At 46.9% G+C, this 18,940-nt stretch overlaps 1 protein-coding gene and 1 long non-coding RNA gene across 4 annotated transcripts in view, besides 4 other annotated features; both read right to left on the bottom strand.

The window, feature by feature from the left end:
- PDCD6-AHRR (PDCD6-AHRR readthrough (NMD candidate)) overlaps positions 1 to 18,940 on the bottom strand; it is a 166,640-nt gene that overhangs the window by 87,133 nt on the left and 60,567 nt on the right. For both annotated transcript variants that reach the window (NR_165159.2, NR_165163.2), the window contains exon 4: positions 7,189 to 7,260. This is a non-coding gene — a long non-coding RNA (PDCD6-AHRR readthrough (NMD candidate)). The remainder of the gene's footprint in view (positions 1 to 7,188; positions 7,261 to 18,940) is intronic.
- The window catches only part of AHRR (aryl hydrocarbon receptor repressor), a 116,572-nt gene that overhangs the window by 87,133 nt on the left and 10,499 nt on the right, over positions 1 to 18,940 (bottom strand). For both annotated transcript variants that reach the window (NM_001377236.1, NM_001377239.1), the window contains exon 2: positions 7,189 to 7,260. In NM_001377236.1, the coding sequence (NP_001364165.1) occupies positions 7,189 to 7,250 (62 nt within the window). In that variant the 5' untranslated portion in view covers positions 7,251 to 7,260. The remainder of the gene's footprint in view (positions 1 to 7,188; positions 7,261 to 18,940) is intronic.
- Positions 4,017 to 4,096: an enhancer, noted in NCBI's record as "active region_22275". NCBI's record gives its function as "activates an Ori minimal core promoter by ATAC-STARR-seq in GM12878 lymphoblastoid cells {active_cell/tissue: GM12878}" and the evidence as "EXISTENCE:reporter gene assay evidence [ECO:0000049][PMID:35858748]".
- Positions 4,107 to 4,306: an enhancer, noted in NCBI's record as "active region_22274". NCBI's record gives its function as "activates an Ori minimal core promoter by ATAC-STARR-seq in GM12878 lymphoblastoid cells {active_cell/tissue: GM12878}" and the evidence as "EXISTENCE:reporter gene assay evidence [ECO:0000049][PMID:35858748]".
- Positions 6,727 to 7,246: a silencer, noted in NCBI's record as "silent region_15867". NCBI's record gives its function as "represses an Ori minimal core promoter by ATAC-STARR-seq in GM12878 lymphoblastoid cells {active_cell/tissue: GM12878}" and the evidence as "EXISTENCE:reporter gene assay evidence [ECO:0000049][PMID:35858748]".
- Positions 7,287 to 7,386: a silencer, noted in NCBI's record as "silent region_15866". NCBI's record gives its function as "represses an Ori minimal core promoter by ATAC-STARR-seq in GM12878 lymphoblastoid cells {active_cell/tissue: GM12878}" and the evidence as "EXISTENCE:reporter gene assay evidence [ECO:0000049][PMID:35858748]".

Below are 18,940 nucleotides of genomic sequence, written 5' to 3'. Positions count from 1 at the left end.
TCGGCAATGTAGCAGGCCTCCAGTTTCTCCACATCCTCACCTACACTTATTATTTTCTGTTTTTTTGATTACAGCCATTCTGGTGTGTGTGAAGTGGTATTTTGTTACGGTTTTGATTTGCATTTTTCTAATGACTTATGATGTTGAGCATCTTTTCAAATGCTTGTTGTCCATTTTTATATTTTCTTTGGAGAAATGGCTATTCAAGTCTTTTGCCCAGTTTTAAATTGGGTTGTTTTTCTTTTTGTTTTTGAGTTGTGAGGATTCTTTAACTACTCTGGATACCAGGCCCTTATTGAGTACACGATTTCTATTTATTTTCTCCCATTCTTTGTCTTATCTTTGGTTACCTTTCCACTTCTTTTTTTTTTTTTTTTAATGTTGCACCCACCAAAAATTACTGAAGCTGCTAGCCAAGATGTAAATAGGCGGGAGAATTGGGGATGACCTGGACCTGCTCTCGTGTGCACTGGCATCCCCTGGCTGGAGGGGCCCACCTGTCAGTGAAGGACACCCAAGACCTCCCCAGAAAACAAGGGGAGCACCTAGTGGGCAGACAGCAGCTGGGAGAGGCCACAGAATGGGGGCGCCAGAGAGATGGGAGAGATGGCCGAAGGCAGTGGGGAGAGGACAGCCAGGAGGACACAGGCCACGGACAGGATACGAGAAGCCTAGAAGCCCTGAGGGCGTGCAGGAGAAGCTCCAGTTCACTCCAGGGCAGAGGAGACTCGCAGGAGGATTCATCAACGCCCATCAGCACAGAAACAGGTGTGGGAGGTGCACCAAGCCAGCTCAGGCGGAAAGAGACGCCCCAAAATATGCAATGCCTGTGAACAAACCTAACAAAAGACACTCAAACCAGAGCTGAGAAAAATTTAAAGACCAAATACGCAGGAAGATATACCATGTTCTTTGATTGGATGATTCAATATTGTTGATGGCAATTCTCCCCAAAACTGATCTATAGATTCAATGTAATCATATTAAAATCCCAACAGGAATTTCTACAGAAATTGACAAGCTGATTCTAAAATTTACATGGAAATGCAAAGGACCTAGAATAGCCAATTAAAGAGAAGGGCACAGCTGGGGACCTACATTACTGAGTTTAAGCCCTCTCTAAAGCTATAATATTAAAGATGATTTGGTTATTAGAGAAAACATAGAAGTATAAATGAATAGAAAAGAATGGTGTGAGTCTAGAAATAGACACACTGGTTTTCCTTGGGTCTTCATTGGACAATTTACTTCACAAAGATACTAAGGCAATTAAACAGGGAAAGGAAAATCTTTTCAATAAATTGTGTTGGATCAACCGTATATCCAAGAAAACAAACGGACACCAGCTCTACCCTCATGCAATATCCAAAAATTAACTCAAAAAAGGAGTATAGACTTCAAGGTGCTTTAAACTACTGTAAAACTTTACAAGAAAATGTGCAAAAATCAATCCTTCAGACCTTGGGGGTAGTTACAGGACTCTCAGAACACAAAAAGACAAAAAGCTCACAAGTTGGTCTTCATCAAAAGGTTTTCTTTTTTTAAAATTTTCTTTCTTCTTTTTTTTTTTTTTGAGACGGAGTCTCACTCTGTCACCCAGGCTGGAATGCAGTGGCGTGATCTTGGCTCACTGCAAGCTCTGCCTCCGGAGTTCACGCCATTCTCCTGCCTCAGCCTCCCGAGTAGCTGGGACTACAGGCGCCCGCCACCGTGCCCGGCTAATTTTTTTTTGTATTTTTAGTGGAGACGGGGTTTCACCGTGTTAGCCAGGATGGTCTCGATCTCCTGACCTTGTGGTCCTCCCGCCTCGGCCTCCCAAAGTGCTGGGATTACAGGCGTGAGCCACCGCGCCCAGCCAAAAGGTTTTCAAATGTCTTTTGAAAGTCAATATTAAGAAAATTGAAAAGATAAGCTTTAGGTTGGAAGAAAATATTCACAACAAGGGTTTATATCCAGAATATGTAAAGAACTCTTACAACTCAATAGTAAGAAAACAAGACAATAAGAACACGGGCAATTATTTAAACAGACACCACCAGACAAGATATATGGATGGTGAAGAAGCACATAAAGTTATCCTCAACACCATTAGTCACTAGGGAAATGCACATTAAAACTCTGATGAGATACCACCAACCCATGAGGATGGTCAAAACCAAGAAGGCTGAGCACACCACGCACCGGCGGGGATGCAGAGAAACTGGGATTCTCACACACAGTGTCTGGGAATGGGAAATGACACCACTGCTTTGGAAACAGTTAAACGTGCACCTGCTGTGTCACCCAGCAACTGCATGCCTAAGTATTTATCCAACAGAAATAAAAACCTACAGACTTGTACAAAAATGTTCATGGTAGCTTTATTTGTAACAGTCTAAAACAGAGAACGACCTGAACTTCCATCCACAGGTAAATAAACAGACTTGGTCTATCCATACAACAGAACATTTCGCAGCAATAAAAGAGAACAAATGGCTGGTGCTAGAAACATGGATGAATCTCAGAACTTTTATACCAAGTGCAGACAGACAAAATGCTGTGTGATTCCATTTGCACAAAATGCCAGGACAAGCAAACCATCTGCAGTGACAGGAAACAGATCGGAGGTTGCCTGGGGCAGAGCTAGAGGGAGGAATTACGAGGGGCCACAAAGAAGCTCGTGGAGTGATAGAAACGCTTCCTCTCGATTTTGGTGATAGCTTCACGGATGTACACAAATGTCAAAATGGACCCGCTGCACACCTTAAACGTGCAGTTCAGCTGAAATACGTATACTTCAATTATACTCAATAAACATCAAAATGCAAAAAAAAAAAAAAGGAGGGGGGGAATCCCTGTGGCTTCCACAGTGTCATGAGCTGAAGGCACTGTCCCTGCTGAGGACTCCGGGGAATCCCAGAAGACAAGGAGCATCAAACAGGCTCCTGGTGGCACAGGGCATTCACTCCTGGGAGAGCACTGTGGATTCAGGATCACCCATGTCATCCAAAGGATACCGAGGCTGGGTGGGAGTCAAGGGCACTGCCAAGGGGAGGGCTGTCCCAGCCGGCCGCCCGGCTTCCCCCACATCAGCTGCCCCCTGCACTCAGTGCTTGTGGGGGCCTCTCAGGGGCAGGTTCTAGACCAACTCCACCTCCGATGGCATGCTCCACAGCCTTTACCAGCCACCCCTTCCAGACAAAATTTAGGGCACACACAGACCCATCCCCCATCACCACAGAGGAGCTGGGCAGACCAGAGCACTGGACACGGCCCTCAGGTGCATCAAGGGCCACAGCTGGGATGGCCAGAGCGGAGGGGGCCCCCACCGCAGGAGAGGGTGCAGGATGGGCACCCAGACTCAACATCAAAACAGTGTTTTGGCCTCCAGTTTCCCAGAGTGGGTCCCTAGAGGGGTTCCCAGGACCCCTGCACGTGCCAGCAGCCCCTCCATGGAGAAAGACACGGCAGCCTTCACAGATGCCCATGCTTGGACACACCAGCCTCCATCACCTTGCCTACTGTATGTGTGCAGTGGGGGTGTGTGTCTGAGTTGGAAAACATTTCACGACTATTCAAGTCATTCACTGTCTTTCATTGCCCCTCAAATCACAACTGGTTTTCTTTTTTCCCTCTTTTTTCCTCTTTCTTCCCCAAGTGCTTAAAAGTTTTAAACATAAATACATATATTTTAAGGAATGTATTCGAAGAACTAATGGGAATATTCTCCTATAAACTTGAAGTAAGGGAGATCTTCCTAATCGTGATGTAAAATTAGCCACAAAAGTAAAGATCGACAAATTCAACTCATACAAATTTAATTTTTTCTGCATGGCAAAGAACACTATATGTAAAATCAAAACTGGGGTAAAGTATTTGAAACCCATTCAAAAATTAATTTCCCTAGTTTCCAAGTTCTTACAAATCAAGAGGCACAAAACATAAACAATCTACTAGAAAAATGAGCAAAAGGCGTAAACACGGTTCACAGAAAAGGAAATGCAAATCGCTCTTAAACCTCACTTATGATACAAGAATGCAAATTAAAATCACCAATATCTGAAATACACTATGTGCTGGGGCGTGGGGAGGAGGAACTGATGAGGGACTCTAACCCTAATGCTGGGAGGTTTGGGAACAACTATTGAAATTACAAACGCCCGTGCTTTGGCTGAGCAATTCCACATCTAGGTTTTCATCCTCCCAATACACGAGTGTGGGGGATTTGATTTTAACTCTTGCAAGCTAACAACTCGTTCCTGTTTCGTGGACCCTGGAAGAAGACATGAGACCCCGGAGGCGGAGACAAAGGGCTTACTACTCACGGCACAGCAAGCTACGTGAGCTTCCGCGTGTTCATCATTCACCCAGGTCCCCAGGTCCCGCGGGGGGATGTGGAAGCATCCTGGCTGATGCTGCATCTGCAGTGGGTTCTTGTAGCAGCAGAGGAAGACAGAGCTTTATACAGGGTGAGGCTGAGGTCTGCAGGTGAAGGGCCGCCGTCCCTGGGGGCCAAGGATGAAGCCGGGTGCACGTAGGGGGCCAGGAAGGGTTGAGACACTTCCATAGCTGGGTCCCCCGGGGGTGGGCGACGGAATGTGCTCCTGAGCCTGTGCACTTGAGAGATTTGGGTAGCAGACGTATTTGTCACATTAAATAAGGAGAGGAAATAGCTTTGTCACACAGCTGCAAATGCAGTCCCTGTGGTGGGGCCGTCTGGGGAAGAATCAGAACGAAATTTCCTGCTTTTATTGTGTTTTTATTCCACTGCAAAGACCTGAGAAAGGAGTTTCTGGGCCTTTGCGTTTTATGTATTGGTGTTTTGAATAGCTAGTGTGCTCACCTATTTCAAAACTCAGAGGAAAGTGTCTTCAGGCTGGCTCCCTGCCTGGAGGCAGCTGATTTTAAGTTTTCTGTGATTCCGTCGGGAGACATTTTACGAATAAACTAGAAAATGTGCATGCACCGTATTTATGTTTCCTCCCTTTATATATGAATTGCAGCATCCGTATCTACTGCCGTCCCCCGCTAGAGCTTGTTCGCAAGCAGCGCAGGGCTGTGCTGTTTCTTCTGCAGCCCTTGGTCCCGGCCTCGGCTGTGTGCCTGGCCCCAGGCATGGTTTTGCGCATGTGCTCACCGCTGGGCCAGCGTCAGCCTGGGCACTGAGCCTACTGCATGCTGGTGTTCGATGCACAGAGAGTGCGAGGCCTTGGCCGCAAACTGCAGCCTTGAGGGACAAGGTAAGGTCTCCCTGCGGGACATGGGATCTCTTTACTGTTTACCATAACAAGACACCTAAACAAGATGTAAACAGTAAACAGGATCCTTCCTTCCCAAGGGAGGCCTTACCTCCCCTTGTTTCCCAGCCCCAGCTCCTCCTGGGGCCCCGCAGTGCTTGGAGGCACCACGGCCACACACTAAGGCCAAGCATTTGACACGTCCAGGCGCCAAGGGGCCTTACCTCATTATCACAGCAGGTGTTAGGGCAGTGAGGGTGGCATTGCTGTGAATCTACACAGAATCCTACAGCCCCTGCAGCGGGGGACATCATCCGACACACACACCCACACACACAGACACACCCCCACACACCCACACACACCCACACATCCCCACACACACATCCCCACACACAGCCAGAGACATCATCTGACACACACACCCCCTCCCCCCCACATACACACATCCCCACACACAGCCAGGGACATCATCCGACACACACACACACACACCCACACACGCACACCCACACACACACACAGCCAGGGACATCATCCGACACACACACACATCCCCACACACAGCCAGGGACATCATCCGACACACACACACACACATCCCCACACACACACACACACACATCCCCACACACAGCCAGGGACATCATCCGACACACACACCCACCCACCCCTCTCCCCACACACACATCCCCACACACAGCCAGGGACATCATCCGACACACACACACACACACACACACACACACACACATCCCCACACACAGCCAGGGACATCATCCGACACACACACACACACACACACACACATCCCCACACACAGCCAGGGACATCATCTGACACACACACACACACACACACACACATCCCCACACACAGCCAGGGACATCATCCGACACACATAGTCCCCCTCGCACACACACAGCCTCACACTCCCCACACACAGCCTCACACACACCCCACACAGCCCCCAACCTCACACACACACCCCCCCCACACACAGCTCCCCACAGCCCTCCACACACACCTGCACACGCAGTCTCACACAGCTTCGCACACCTGCACACCTGCACAGTCTCACACACCCCACACACACAGCTCCCTACAGTCCCCCACACACACCCGCACACACAGTCTCACACAGCCTCGCACACCCGCACAGTCACACACACACCCACACACACACAGCTCCCCCCGCACACACACAGCCTCACACACACACCCCACACACAGCCCCCCACAGCCTCACACACACACACCCACACACACACAGCTCCCCCCGCGCACACACAGCCTCACACACACACACCCCACACACAGCCCCCCACAGCCTCACACACACACACCCACACACACACAGCTCCCCCCGCGCACACACAGCCTCACACACACACACCCCACACACAGCCCCCCACAGCCTCACACACACACACCCACACACACACAGCTCCCCCCGCGCACACACAGCCTCACACACACACACCCCACACACAGCCCCCCACAGCCTCACACATACCGCACACACCCCCGCAGCCCTCCCCACCCGCAGACACACAGCCTCGCATAGCCTCGCCACACACGCACACACCCGGCCGTGCCACACCCTCCGTCCCAGCGGGTGGCGGTCTCGCCTGCGGAGCCTGGGAAGCTGCCGTGGCCCCGCCGCCTCCGCCTCTGCCGCCCGGAGCTCCGCCCGCGTCCTTGGCCTCAGCGCCTCACGGTGCCCGCCGCCTCGCTCCACCGCTCAGGGCCCCGAGGGCGCAGGGACGAGCCTCGCCGGGGGCTCCGGGCACCGGGGCGCTGCGGGGAGACGACTCCTGCGCCGCCCGCGCCGGAGCTCAGCCCCGGCCCGCCCGGCTCCCGAAGCCTTCCTCGCTCGCCCTGTTCCTAAAACTCCGTTTTCAAGGCAAACCCCAACCCTCCCCTTCCATGGGTGCAACAACCCACACAAGCAGAAGGCGGGATACTTTACTGTTTCTGCAGGGGCCTCCTCCGCTTCCGGCCCGCGTACGTGCACTCCCCCGGCGGGATCATCGTCCTCGGCCTGGAAGACAAGGGGGCACCCGGTCACCGGAACGCGCCACGTGCGCCCTGTTCCCGCCGCGATGCCCCGGGCCCCTCAGCGCGGTCCTGGCGCCCCCACACCCGCGACCCCGCGAGGCCCCCACCTCCTGCTCCTCCTCGTGGGACCCCCTGGCCCGGGACCCCTGCTCTCCAGCACCCCGCACCGAGGAGCCACCGGGGCCGGGTCACGCCTGGGCCTCCCCTCGGTGTCAGGCGGGTCCCGGCCTCCCCCAGAGAAGCCGCCTGCTCTGGAGCCTGGCTCAGGGCGCCGTGGCGGGAGACCGGCGTCCTGAGGAGGAAGCCATCGAGGAAGCCAGGAACGGGCGGGGCGGGGCGCAGCCAAGGCCTGGGCAGCCTGCAGCCTCCAAACACTCGTCACGCGGGATCCCGTGTTCCCGTCACCCCCGAGAAGGTACGCGGGGTCCCGTGTTCCCGTCACCCCCGAGAAGGTATGTGGGGTCCCGTGTTCCCGTCACCCCCAAGAGGGTACGCGGGTCCCGTGTTCCCATCACCCCGAGAAGGTACGTGGGGTCCCACGTTCCTGTCACCCCTGAGAGGGTATGTGGGGTTCTGTGTTCACGTCACCCCGAAAAGGTATGTGGGGTCCCGTGTTCCTGTCACCCCGAGAAGGTATGTGGGGTCCCGTGTTTCTGTCACCTCTGAGAGGGTACTCAGGTCCCATGTTCCTGTCACTCCGAGAGGACACACGGGGCCACATGATCCCATCACCCCCAAGAGCGCATGCAGGGCAACAGCATAATCTCCTCTCTGTGGTGTGATCTCCCTGTGCGGTTTGTGGCAGGTCTTGCTCTTCTCATCTCTGCCCTTGATAGCCTTGTGCTTTGGGCCAACAGGCTTCCTCTTTTCTATGTAAAATTCTACTCCACTCTACAGTCCTGGGATTCCACTTAAGTCACTAGCTCACAGCGCCCTGAGTCCAGCTGACTACACCCACCAGCTGCCACCAACAGTGCTGGACACAGGCATGTGCCTCCCAGCGGGGCCCCTGAGGAGCAGCCCAGTATCTGTGCCCAGGCTGGTCAGCTTGCCTGCCACCCACCTCAGAGAGGGCATCACCCTTCTTCTCACAGAATCTTGATTTTCCTTGCAATGGGTGCAGCTGAGCCCTCACAAACGTTCTGCAGACCTGTGTGCAGTAACCATCCCGTGCCAGGCTCTGGGCCAGAAGCCTTGGGGAGGAAGTTAAGGAGCCCTCACCTGACCTGAAGTGAGTGTAGCCTGGAAGAGGAGGCAGACTCACGCAATATCCACCTTGTGTGGAAAGTGCCATAAAAATGTCAGAAATGTGTCATGGATCCACTTGGACTGTAAAGACTTAGGTAGATAAAGTAAATGGATAGAAAAAGATACAACATGCAAACGTTAATCAAATGAAGCAGCTGTATGAGTCCCAGACAAAGAAGACTTCAGAACAAGGAATATCACCAGAGACAAAAAGGTATATTCTTTAATAATAAAGAGGTCAATTTTCCAAGAAGATCTGACAATCCTAAAGGTAAATGTACCTAGCAATGGAGCTTCAAAACACATGAAGCAAAAACTAATAAAATCAAAAAGGATAATTCATGGGAGACATTAACATTCCTATCTCAGTGATCAATAGAACAAGTAAATAAAATCAGTAAGGATACAGAATATCCAAACGACAACAGACTTGAATTAATGGAAATTTATAAAACACTCCATCCAACAACCGAAGAGTATCTGGTTTTTACACATGTAACATTCGCCAAGACAGACCATATTCTGGGACTTAAAACTATCCTTAACAATTTTTTTAAAAACAGAAATCAAAGTATGTTATTTGACATAATGGAATTAAACTATAAAGATATCTAGAAATTTTCCAAATATTTGGAAAGCAACCCACTTTTAAATAAGCAAGGATCAAAGATGCCTCTTTGATTCACAAAGAAATTTAAAAATATTTTGAACTAAACAAAAATGAAAATGCAAACATATCAGACTTTGTGGGATGCAGCTAACCAGTACTTTGATGGAAACTGATAGCATTAAGTGCTTATATTTGAGAAAATAAAAGGTCTAAAATAAGATCTAAGCTTCTAACAAGTAACTAGAAGAGAAGATAAACCCAAATTGAACAGAAGAATGGAAATAATAAAAATAAGTCGATAAGAGATAAAACATAAAAATAAAGAAAAATTGGCAGGGCGTGGTGGCTCATGCCTATAATCCCAGCTACTCTGGAGACTGAGGCAGGAGAATTGCTTGAGCCTGGAAGATGGAGGTTGCAGTGAGCCAACACCGCTGCACTCCAGCCTGGGCGACAGAGTGAGGCTCTGTCAAAAAAAAAAAAAAGAAGGAAAAGGAAAGGAAAGGAAAGGAGGGGAGGGGAGGGGAGGGGAAGGAAAGTGATTAAACCAAAAGTTGGTTCTTTGAAAAAAATCAACAAAACTGATAAACTTCTAGCCATACTGATCAAGAAACAGAGAAGACACAAATTGCCAATATCAGGAATGAAAGAGAGGACATCACTGCAGATCCCACAGACATTAAAAGAAAAATTATAGAGCTGAGGCCAGGCGCAGTGGCTTAGGCCTATAATCCCAGCACTTTGGGAGGGCGAGGCAGGTGGATCACCTGAGGTTAGGAGTTCGAGACCAGCCTGACCAATATGGTGAAACCCCGTCTGTACTAAAATTACAAAAATTAGCTAGGCATGGTGGCGTGCACCTGTAGTCCCAGCTACTTGGGAGGCTGAGACAGGAGAATCATTTGAACTTGGGAGGCGGAGTTTGCAGTGAGCCAAGATCATGCCACTGCACTCCAGCCTGGGCGACATAGCGAGATTTGGCCTAAAAAAAAGAAAAGAAAAGAAAAAGAAAAATTATAGAGCTGGGTGCAGTGGCTCATGCCTATAATCCCAGCACTTTGGAAGGCTGAGGCAGGAGGATCACCTGAGGTCAGGAGTTCAAGACCAGCCTGGCCAACATGGTGAAACCCTGTCTCTACTAAAAATACAAAAAATTAGCCAGGCATGGTGGCGCATGCCTGTAATCCCAGCTACTTGGGAGGCTGAGGTAGGAGAATTGCTTGAACCTGGGAGGCAGAGGTTGCAGTGAGCCAAGATCACATCATTGCACTCCAACCTGAGCAACAAGAGCAAAACTCCAACTCAAAAAAAAAAAAAAAAAAAAAAAAATATATATATATATATATATATATAATATTGCTGTGAACATAATTGCGTCCACCCAAAATTCCTATGTTGAGCCCTAACTCTCCATGTGACTGTATTGGAGATAGAGCCCCTACCCTCATAGGTGATTAAGGTAATAAGGCTGGAGCCCTAATCCTGTAGAACTGGTGCCCTATAAAAAGAGAAGCAACATCAGAGCTCTCTCTCTCCACCATGTGAGGATGCAGCAACAAGGCAGCCATCTGTAAGGCAGGAAGAGAGGCCTCACCAGAAACCAAATCAGCCAGCACCTTGATCTTGGACTTCCCAGCCTCCAGAACAGTGTGAAATAAATTTCTGTTGTTTAAGCTATCCAGTCTATGGTAGTTTGTTATGGCAGCCCAAGCAGAGTAAGACAAATACTATCCCAAAAATTCAACGATTTAGATGAAATAGAGGAATTCCTAGAAAGGCACAATCTATCAAAACTCAAGAAAAAACAGATAATCTGGATAGCTCTATATCTATTCCAACAACATCAAAAAACCCAGGTCTAAATGGTTTCACTGGTATATCTACCAATGTAAAGAAATAATACCAATTCTCTCTTGGCAAAAAATATCAAAGAAAAAATTTAAAATTGTCGACTTATTTACGAATTCAGCATTACTCTGATGCCACACCAAAGGCATTGCACGAAAAGAAAACTAAAGACCAGCATCCCACATGAACATAGACACAAAAATCCTCACTTAAATATAGGTATTGGCAAATAGAATCTACCAATATATAAAAAGGATGATACATCACAGCTAAGTGGGATTTATCCAAGGAATTCAGGGCAGCTTCAACATCCAAACACCAATCACTGTAATTCACTATAATAATAAACTAAAAAGAAAATGCACATCATCATCTCAATCTTTCAGAAAAGCATTTGACAAAATCCAAATCCATTCATAACAATTTTTCCAAAAAAACCTCTCATCAAACTAGGAACAGAAGGAAACTTAATTAACGTGATAAAGAACATCTACAAAAGCCTATAGCTAACATCACAGCTAATGGTGAAAGACTAAATGCTTCCCCCCAAGACCATGAACAAGGCAAAGCTGTGGTGTACCCCCATTCCCACTAAAATTATTTGTGTACTAGCCAGGGCAATAAGTCAGTAAAGTAAGTAAAAGTCTCAAAACTGGGAAATAAATAAAAGTCATAAAACTGGGAAATAAAAATAAAAGAAAACTCTATCTGTTCGCAGACATGATTGTACATGTAGAAAATTCCAAAAAGGCTGAGTGAAGTGGCTCACACCTATAATCCCAGCACTTTGGGAGGCCAAGGTGGGAGAATCACTTGAGCCCAGGAGTTTGAGACCAGCCTGGGCAATGTAGCAAGACCCTATCTCTACAAAACATACTTTTAAAAAAAATTAGCCAGTGTGGTGGCACACACCTGTAGTCTCAGCTACTGAGGAGTCTGAGGCTGGAGGATCACTTGAGCCCAGGACATTGAGGCTGCGGTGACAGTGAGCTGTGTTTGTACCACTGCACTCCAGCCTGAGTGACAGAATAAGACCCTGTCTCTTAAAAAGAGAGAGAGAGAATTCCAAAAATTTTACTAAAACCAATTACCTATAACTAATTACTGAGACCAGCAAGGTCACACAGTAAAAGGATAATAACATACAAAAATAAATTGTGTTTCTAGATACTAGCAATGAACAACTGGAATTCAGATTTTTAAAAACTAGTATCATTTACAATAGCACCCCAATAAAAATAAAATAGGTATTTCAAGAGACCTAATATATGTGTAACTGGACCCCTAATGAATAGGAGGGGAAAGGAGTTAGGAGAAAATGTAAGAAACAGCAGAAATTTTTTCCAAATGTAATGAGAATTGTAAACCTACAGACCCAAGAAGCTCAGTGAGCTCCAAGCACAAGAAACAGGAAAATTACACCAAGGCATATCATAATCAAATTGCTCATAACCAGTAATAAGTAGAATAATATTTATTTTTGTATTTTTTGTAGAGATGGGGTTTCATCATGTTGCCCAGTCTGGCCTTGAACTCCTGGGTTCAAGCAATTCACCCACCTTGGCCTCCAAGAGTGCTGGGATTACAGGTATGAGCCACGTACCTGGCCTAGAATAATATTAAAAGCCAGAGAAAATAGGCACTGGGTACAAAGGATCAAAAATAAGATGACAGCAGATTCCTCATCAGAAACAAGAAGGTAGTGGAGCAACATCTTTAAAGCTGAAAGAAAAAACCCTGAAACCTAGAATTCTACATCTTATGAAAACATCATTCACAAGTGAAGGTGAAATAAAGAGCTTTCAGATGCACAAAAACTGAAAGAAATCATCACTAGCTGACCCACACTATAAGAAACATTACAGGCCAAAGGAAAATGATACCAGATTGTAGTATGGGTCTACAACATGGCACAAAAAGCGCAAGAACTGACTACTAGAGGGTGAAATATGCATAATTTGTTCTTATTGCTTAGATATCTTTAAAAGATAAGTGACTAAGCAATAACAACAGTGTGTTGTGGGGTTCACAACAAACGTGGACATCAAGTATATGGCGGCTACACAGACCCGGGAGGGGAGACATGTATTCGCAAAGTGAGGTGACAGTACTCAGAAGCTGTGCCAGCTACCTGTTTGTTGCCTGTAGGCTCCAGACTCTCCATCCTGCCTGATCTGCATTAATAAGCCGCAGTCTTTCAGCATTTCTTCCTATAGAGGGCATGATGTTGCACTGGCCTGAATACGGTCCTAGAGGAGCCCAGCAGGAAGAAGGAGCCTCTCCTGGTTCCAGTGCTTCCTATTTTTTCGTGTTCCTGCTCACCACTGCCATAGACAGGGCAACTCAGCAAACTTCTCTGCCCTCCAGGGGACGGAACCTACACCTCCTCCAATGAGGCCCGAGCCCCAGCTTTGGGAAGGGAGCCCCCTTCCAAGCGCACTCCTTAGGGGCCTCCCGCAGCCCCGGAGCACCATCCAGAGTTCTCCTCTCCCCTCCATAGCTGCATCACTGTTGCTATCTAGACTTCCTAACATTAAAGTTTCTCAATTCAAATAAAAAAAAATTTAAAATATAAAACGCCAACACAGTGAGACCTCATCTCTACAGAAAATAATTTTTAAAAATTAGCCAAGCATGGTGGCGCATGTCTGTAGTCTCAGCTACTCAGGAGACTAAGGCAGGAGTATCGCTTGAGCCTGGGAGGTCAAGGCTGCAGTGAGCCCAGATCACACCACTGCACTCCAGCCTGGGTGACAGAACAAGACCCTGTATGTATGTGTGTGTATATACATACACATAAAGAAAAACAGAGAGCTGATTTTTTAAAATCCACGTTTTAGACATACACATTAAAACACATATGAAATAAATGGCATGTTAGGGATTTGCTTCTCTATAAAGTGGGGAGGACAGTGGAGTCTAAGTGGGCTGGGGTTGGCAGGCTGGACTTTAAATGAAACTGGATCAGCCAATATTGATAGTTGATTACCTATGCTAGCTGATGAAAAAATTGAGCTCTTTGTATAATTTTCTCTATTTTTGTAAAATATTTCAAAAGTGCCATAATAAAATGTTTGGCTTTAAAAAAAAACATTAAAAAGAAAGAAACTGTGGCATAAGAATAGAGATACTAATTGATTATGACCAATGACCAATTGATTTTCCACAAGGGCACCAAGGCTGTTCAGCAGGGAAAGAACAATCTCTTCAACAAATGGTGTTGAGATAACTGGCCAGCCTGAGCAAGGTAGCAAGCAAGGCCTTGTCTCTAAGAGGAAAAAAAAACAAAGCCACACACCAAAGAATGAGGTTGGATCCCTACCTCACACAATATGAAAAAAATTAACCTAAAATTGACTAAAGACTTTAATGTAAGAGCTAAAAATATAACACTCCGAAGAATACATAAGAATTCATCTTTAATGGCTTTGATTGGATAATGACCTTAAATGTGGCAATGGATTCTTAGATTTGTCACAAAAAGCACGGGTAATAAGAGAAAAAAATTGATAAATTGGACTTCATCAAAACTAAAAATTTTTGTGTCACAAGACACTACCAAGAAAGTGAAGAGGCAACCCACAGAATGGCAATAAACATTTACAAATCATGTTATCTGATAAGGGTCTAGTGTCCAGCATAGACAAAGAACTCTTACAATTCAACAACAAAAAGACAACCCAATTTTAAAATGGGCAAAGGCTTTTTTTAAAAGGTGGTTGACTAGAAGCATTTCAAGCACACCTCATCCACTTAGAAGAACCAAAATAATGTGTCGATGATCACACTTTGAATCTATTTTCCAAGAGACAACATGGGAGTTCAGCAGGAAAGTGACAGGAAACAGCAAAACTTAGGAAGAAGGAAAACAGGCAGGATGTGTGGCCAAGAGTGGCTGGGAACTGGGAGTGACTCCCCAGTATGAGAGGGTGAGGGTGGGTCTTCCCGCAGTCCACTTTCCCACTGGAGAATCATGCAGTCCCTGACACAGGAGACTAAATCTGCATCGGATTTAGGGAGACTGAGAAGGAAGTGCTCCAGGAGGGAACATGCCCTGGGTCTCATACCCTTTCTGAAATTTAAGCAGCTAGAGCAAGACACCATTCTCCATCCTAGTTCTTAGCAGACGGTGCATGTTCCTGGTACAAGCAGTGCCAGTCCGAGGCATTAGGGAAACTTGGACTTGGACTGCTGCTTGCGGAACTGAGGTGTGAGAGTGGACCAGGACTAAGAGGCAAGTGTAGCATGGGCTGCAGCTCCCAGCACTGGAAGCAGGCACCACCCCCAGGACTTGAGCAAGATGAGAGTTGCCATGGGGGCCTGGTCTTGAGCTGTGCAGGGCCTACAGCCTGGAGCTGAGTTGCGGGCCAGGCACAAACTGCCAAGGCTGATGGATCAGCTTTTGTCTCCAACAGCCAGGATGGGGGAGCATGCCACATGGGGATTGGGGCATGAAAGGGATGCAGGTCTTCCATCCATGGCCAAGGCTCTGGCTGCTAGGACTGGCCCCACCCTCCCTGTGGCAGCTGCCCCTCATCCAGGCATTCTGCCATGGGCCCTGAAAATCACCCAGTGGCACCTGTCACAGTTGGTGCATGCACTCAGGGGGCTAGAGCAAGCTTGCCTGGTCCAGCTCTGCCCAGCATCCCCCTTCCCCAGCCTGCCCACAAGACAGAGTGTGGGATCCAGCGACCTGGAGGACCCACAACACAGTCCACCACCTGGGACACTGAGCCCTTCTCCCAGGGGACACCCTGCCACTACCACCTCAGCTGGCACCTACCTGCAAGTGCCAGCTGCTGGTCTGGAGGCTGGCCAGCACAGCCGATTGCAACCACTGCCAACACATGCACACAGAGCTTGGGACCCAAAAGTGCATCTCACCACCACTGCCACCACCATTGCCCACACCACTCTGGCTGCCCAAAAACTAGGAAGCCTGCTCACTCGCATGGTACACTGCTACTACAACTAGCTTCTGAGAAAGCCACCCAGAGGCCCAAGAATCAGCCTGCCTGGTACTGCCAACACAGGTGCCAGTGTGTGCCACCCTGGGGCACAAGGATAGACATGGTTAACCCACAGCTGCTACCACTGAAGCCTGAAGATGGGCCCACCCAGCATCCCAGTCCCCAGCACAACTTCACCACAGCCGCCACCAATAACTGCACCCTAACCAAGGAAGCCGCAGATACCACTAACACTGCTAATAGCCAAATAAAACATACAGAGGCTTCACTGCTGCATGCCTCAGAAGTAAATCCAAAGGGCCCTACCCAACCAACATCCCAGTCACATCTCCAGTAAAAGGTGCCCCCCAACAACAAAAGTAAACCCCAAAACAAGAAAAAGCAACTATTACACCAGATGTGCAGAAAGCAACATAAAGACACAAGAAACATGAAAAAGCAGGGTAATATGACAATCCCAGAGAAACACAATTCTCCAGCAGTAGATAAATCTCAACCAAAAGAAATCCTCAAAATCCCAGATAAAGAATTCAAAATATTGATTTTAAAGAAGTTCAATGAGATGTGTGAGGAATCTGAAAATCAATACAAAGAACTCAGAAGATTAATTCAGAATATGAATGAGATATTTACCAAGGAGATAGATACATTTTTTAAAAAAAACCAGAAATACAAAATACATTTGAAAGCTCCAACAATAGACTAGACCAAGCAGAAGAAAGAATTTCAGAACTTAAAAGACAGGCTTTTTGAAACTATCCAATCAAACAAAAACAAAGCAAAAAGAATGAGAAAGAATGAGCAAAGCCTGTGAGATACCTGGGACTACATACAGCGACTGAATTTACAAGTTATTGGTCTTCCTGAGGATGAAGAGATATTGAGAGGCTTAGAAAACCTATTTAATGAAGGAATATATGAAAACCTGCCAAGTTTAGCAAGAGATCTAAGCATCCAGACACAGGAGGCTCAGCAATCCCCAGGAAAACATCGTGCAAAAAAGACACTACCACAGTGCACCATGAATCAGTCCAAAGTCAAAGTGAAAGAGCAAATTCTAAAATCAAGAGAAAAGCATCTAGTCACCTATAAAGGAAACTTCATCAGACTAAGAGTGGAGTTCTCAGCAAAAACCTTGCAGGCCAGAAGAGAATAAGGTGACATATTCAAACTGCTGCAAGAAAAAAACTTTCGGCCAACAATTTGATATCCAGCAAGACTAACCTTCATAAATGAAGGAGAAATAAAGTCTTTCCCAGAAAAGCCGATCTGAGGGAATTCATCACCACTAGTCCCACAAGAACTGCTCAAGGAAGCCCTAACTTGGAAGTGAAAAGACGACATTCACCATTATGGAAACACACAAAAGTATATATAAAACTCACTCATAAAGCAATCACAGACGAAGAGAAAGGAATCAAATGGCACTGCTACAGAATTCAGCCAAACCACAATGACAAACAGCCAGAGGAAAAGAAAGAAACAAATAACTTATAAAACAACTAGGAAACAAATAACAATACAACAGGAATCAAACCTTACATACCAATATTAACCTTGAAGGTAAACAGGTTAACAGTCCGGTTTTTTGTTTTGTTTTTTTTGAGATGGAGTCTCACTCTGTCACCCAGGCTGGAGTGCAGTGGTGCAATCTCAGTTCACTGCAACCTCCGCCTCCCAGGTTCAAGTGACTCTCCTGCCCCAGCCTCCTGAGTAGCTAGAACTATAGCCCTCCACCACCACTCCTGGCTAATTTTTGTATTTTTAGTAGAGATGGGGTTTCACCATGTTGGCCAGGCTGATCTTGAACTCCTGACCTCAAGTGATCCACCTGCCTCTGCCTCCCAAAGTGCTGGGATTACAGGCGTAAGCTACCATGCCCAGGCAAATGTTCCACTTTAAAGACACTGATTGGCAGAATGGATTTTTAAAAGCATGATTCAACTATATGCTGCATACAAGAAACTCACTTTACCACTAAAGGCACACATAGGCTGGGCATTGTTCCTCAAGCCTGTAATCTCAGCACTTTGGGAGGTCAAGATGGGAGGATTGCTTGAGGCCAGGAGTTTGAGACCAGCCTAGGCAACATAGCGAGATCCTGTCTCTATTTTTTTAAAAAGACACATACAGATTGAAAGTAAAGGCGGGGGGTGGGGTGGGGAAATACATTCCACACAGACGGAAACCAAAAGCGAACAGCAGTAGCTATACTCATATCAGATAAAACAGACTTTACGCCAAAAACAGTAAAAAAAAAAAAAAAAAAAGACAAAGGTCATTTATTATATAATGATAAAGGGATCAATTAGGCAAGAGGATAAAACAATTCTACATACATATGCATCCAACATTGGTGCACCCAGATTTATAAAACAAATATTCCTAGAACTAAAGAGAGAGAGAGAGCAATACAGTAATAGTGGGGACTTCAACACACTACTCATGGCATTAGACAGATCAGCTAAATGGAAAATCAGCAAAGAAACATGGGATTTCAACTGGACTTTAGGCCTCCACATACATTTACATTATAGAATATTCTCCCCAACAACTGCAGAAGATACGTTCTTTTCATCAGCACATGGGACATTCTCCAAGACAGACCATATATTATGCCACAAAACAAGTATTGGCCAGGTGCAGTGGCTCACACCTGTAATCCCAGCACTTTGGGAGGCCGAGGCGGGTGGATCATGAGGTCAGGAGTTCGAGACCAGCCTGGCCAACATGGTGAAACACCATCTCTACTAAAAATACAAAAATTAGCTGGGCATGGTGGTGCACACCCGTAGTCCCAGCTACTCAGGAGGCTGAGGCAGGAGAATCACTTGAACCCAGGAGGCGGAGGTTGTGGTGAGCCGAGATCATGCCACTGCACTCCAGCCTGGGCAACAGAGTGAGACTCTGCCTTAAAAAAAAAAAAAAAAAAAAAAGTCTTAACAGATTTTTCTTTCTTCTTTTTTTCCTCTTCTTCCTCCTGCTTC

Source organism: Homo sapiens, chromosome 5, assembly GCF_000001405.40.
Source record: "Homo sapiens chromosome 5, GRCh38.p14 Primary Assembly".
NCBI lineage: Eukaryota > Metazoa > Chordata > Mammalia > Primates > Hominidae > Homo > Homo sapiens.
The sequence above is the reverse complement of the archived record's forward strand: the minus strand, read 5'-3'. Positions and strand labels throughout refer to the sequence as shown.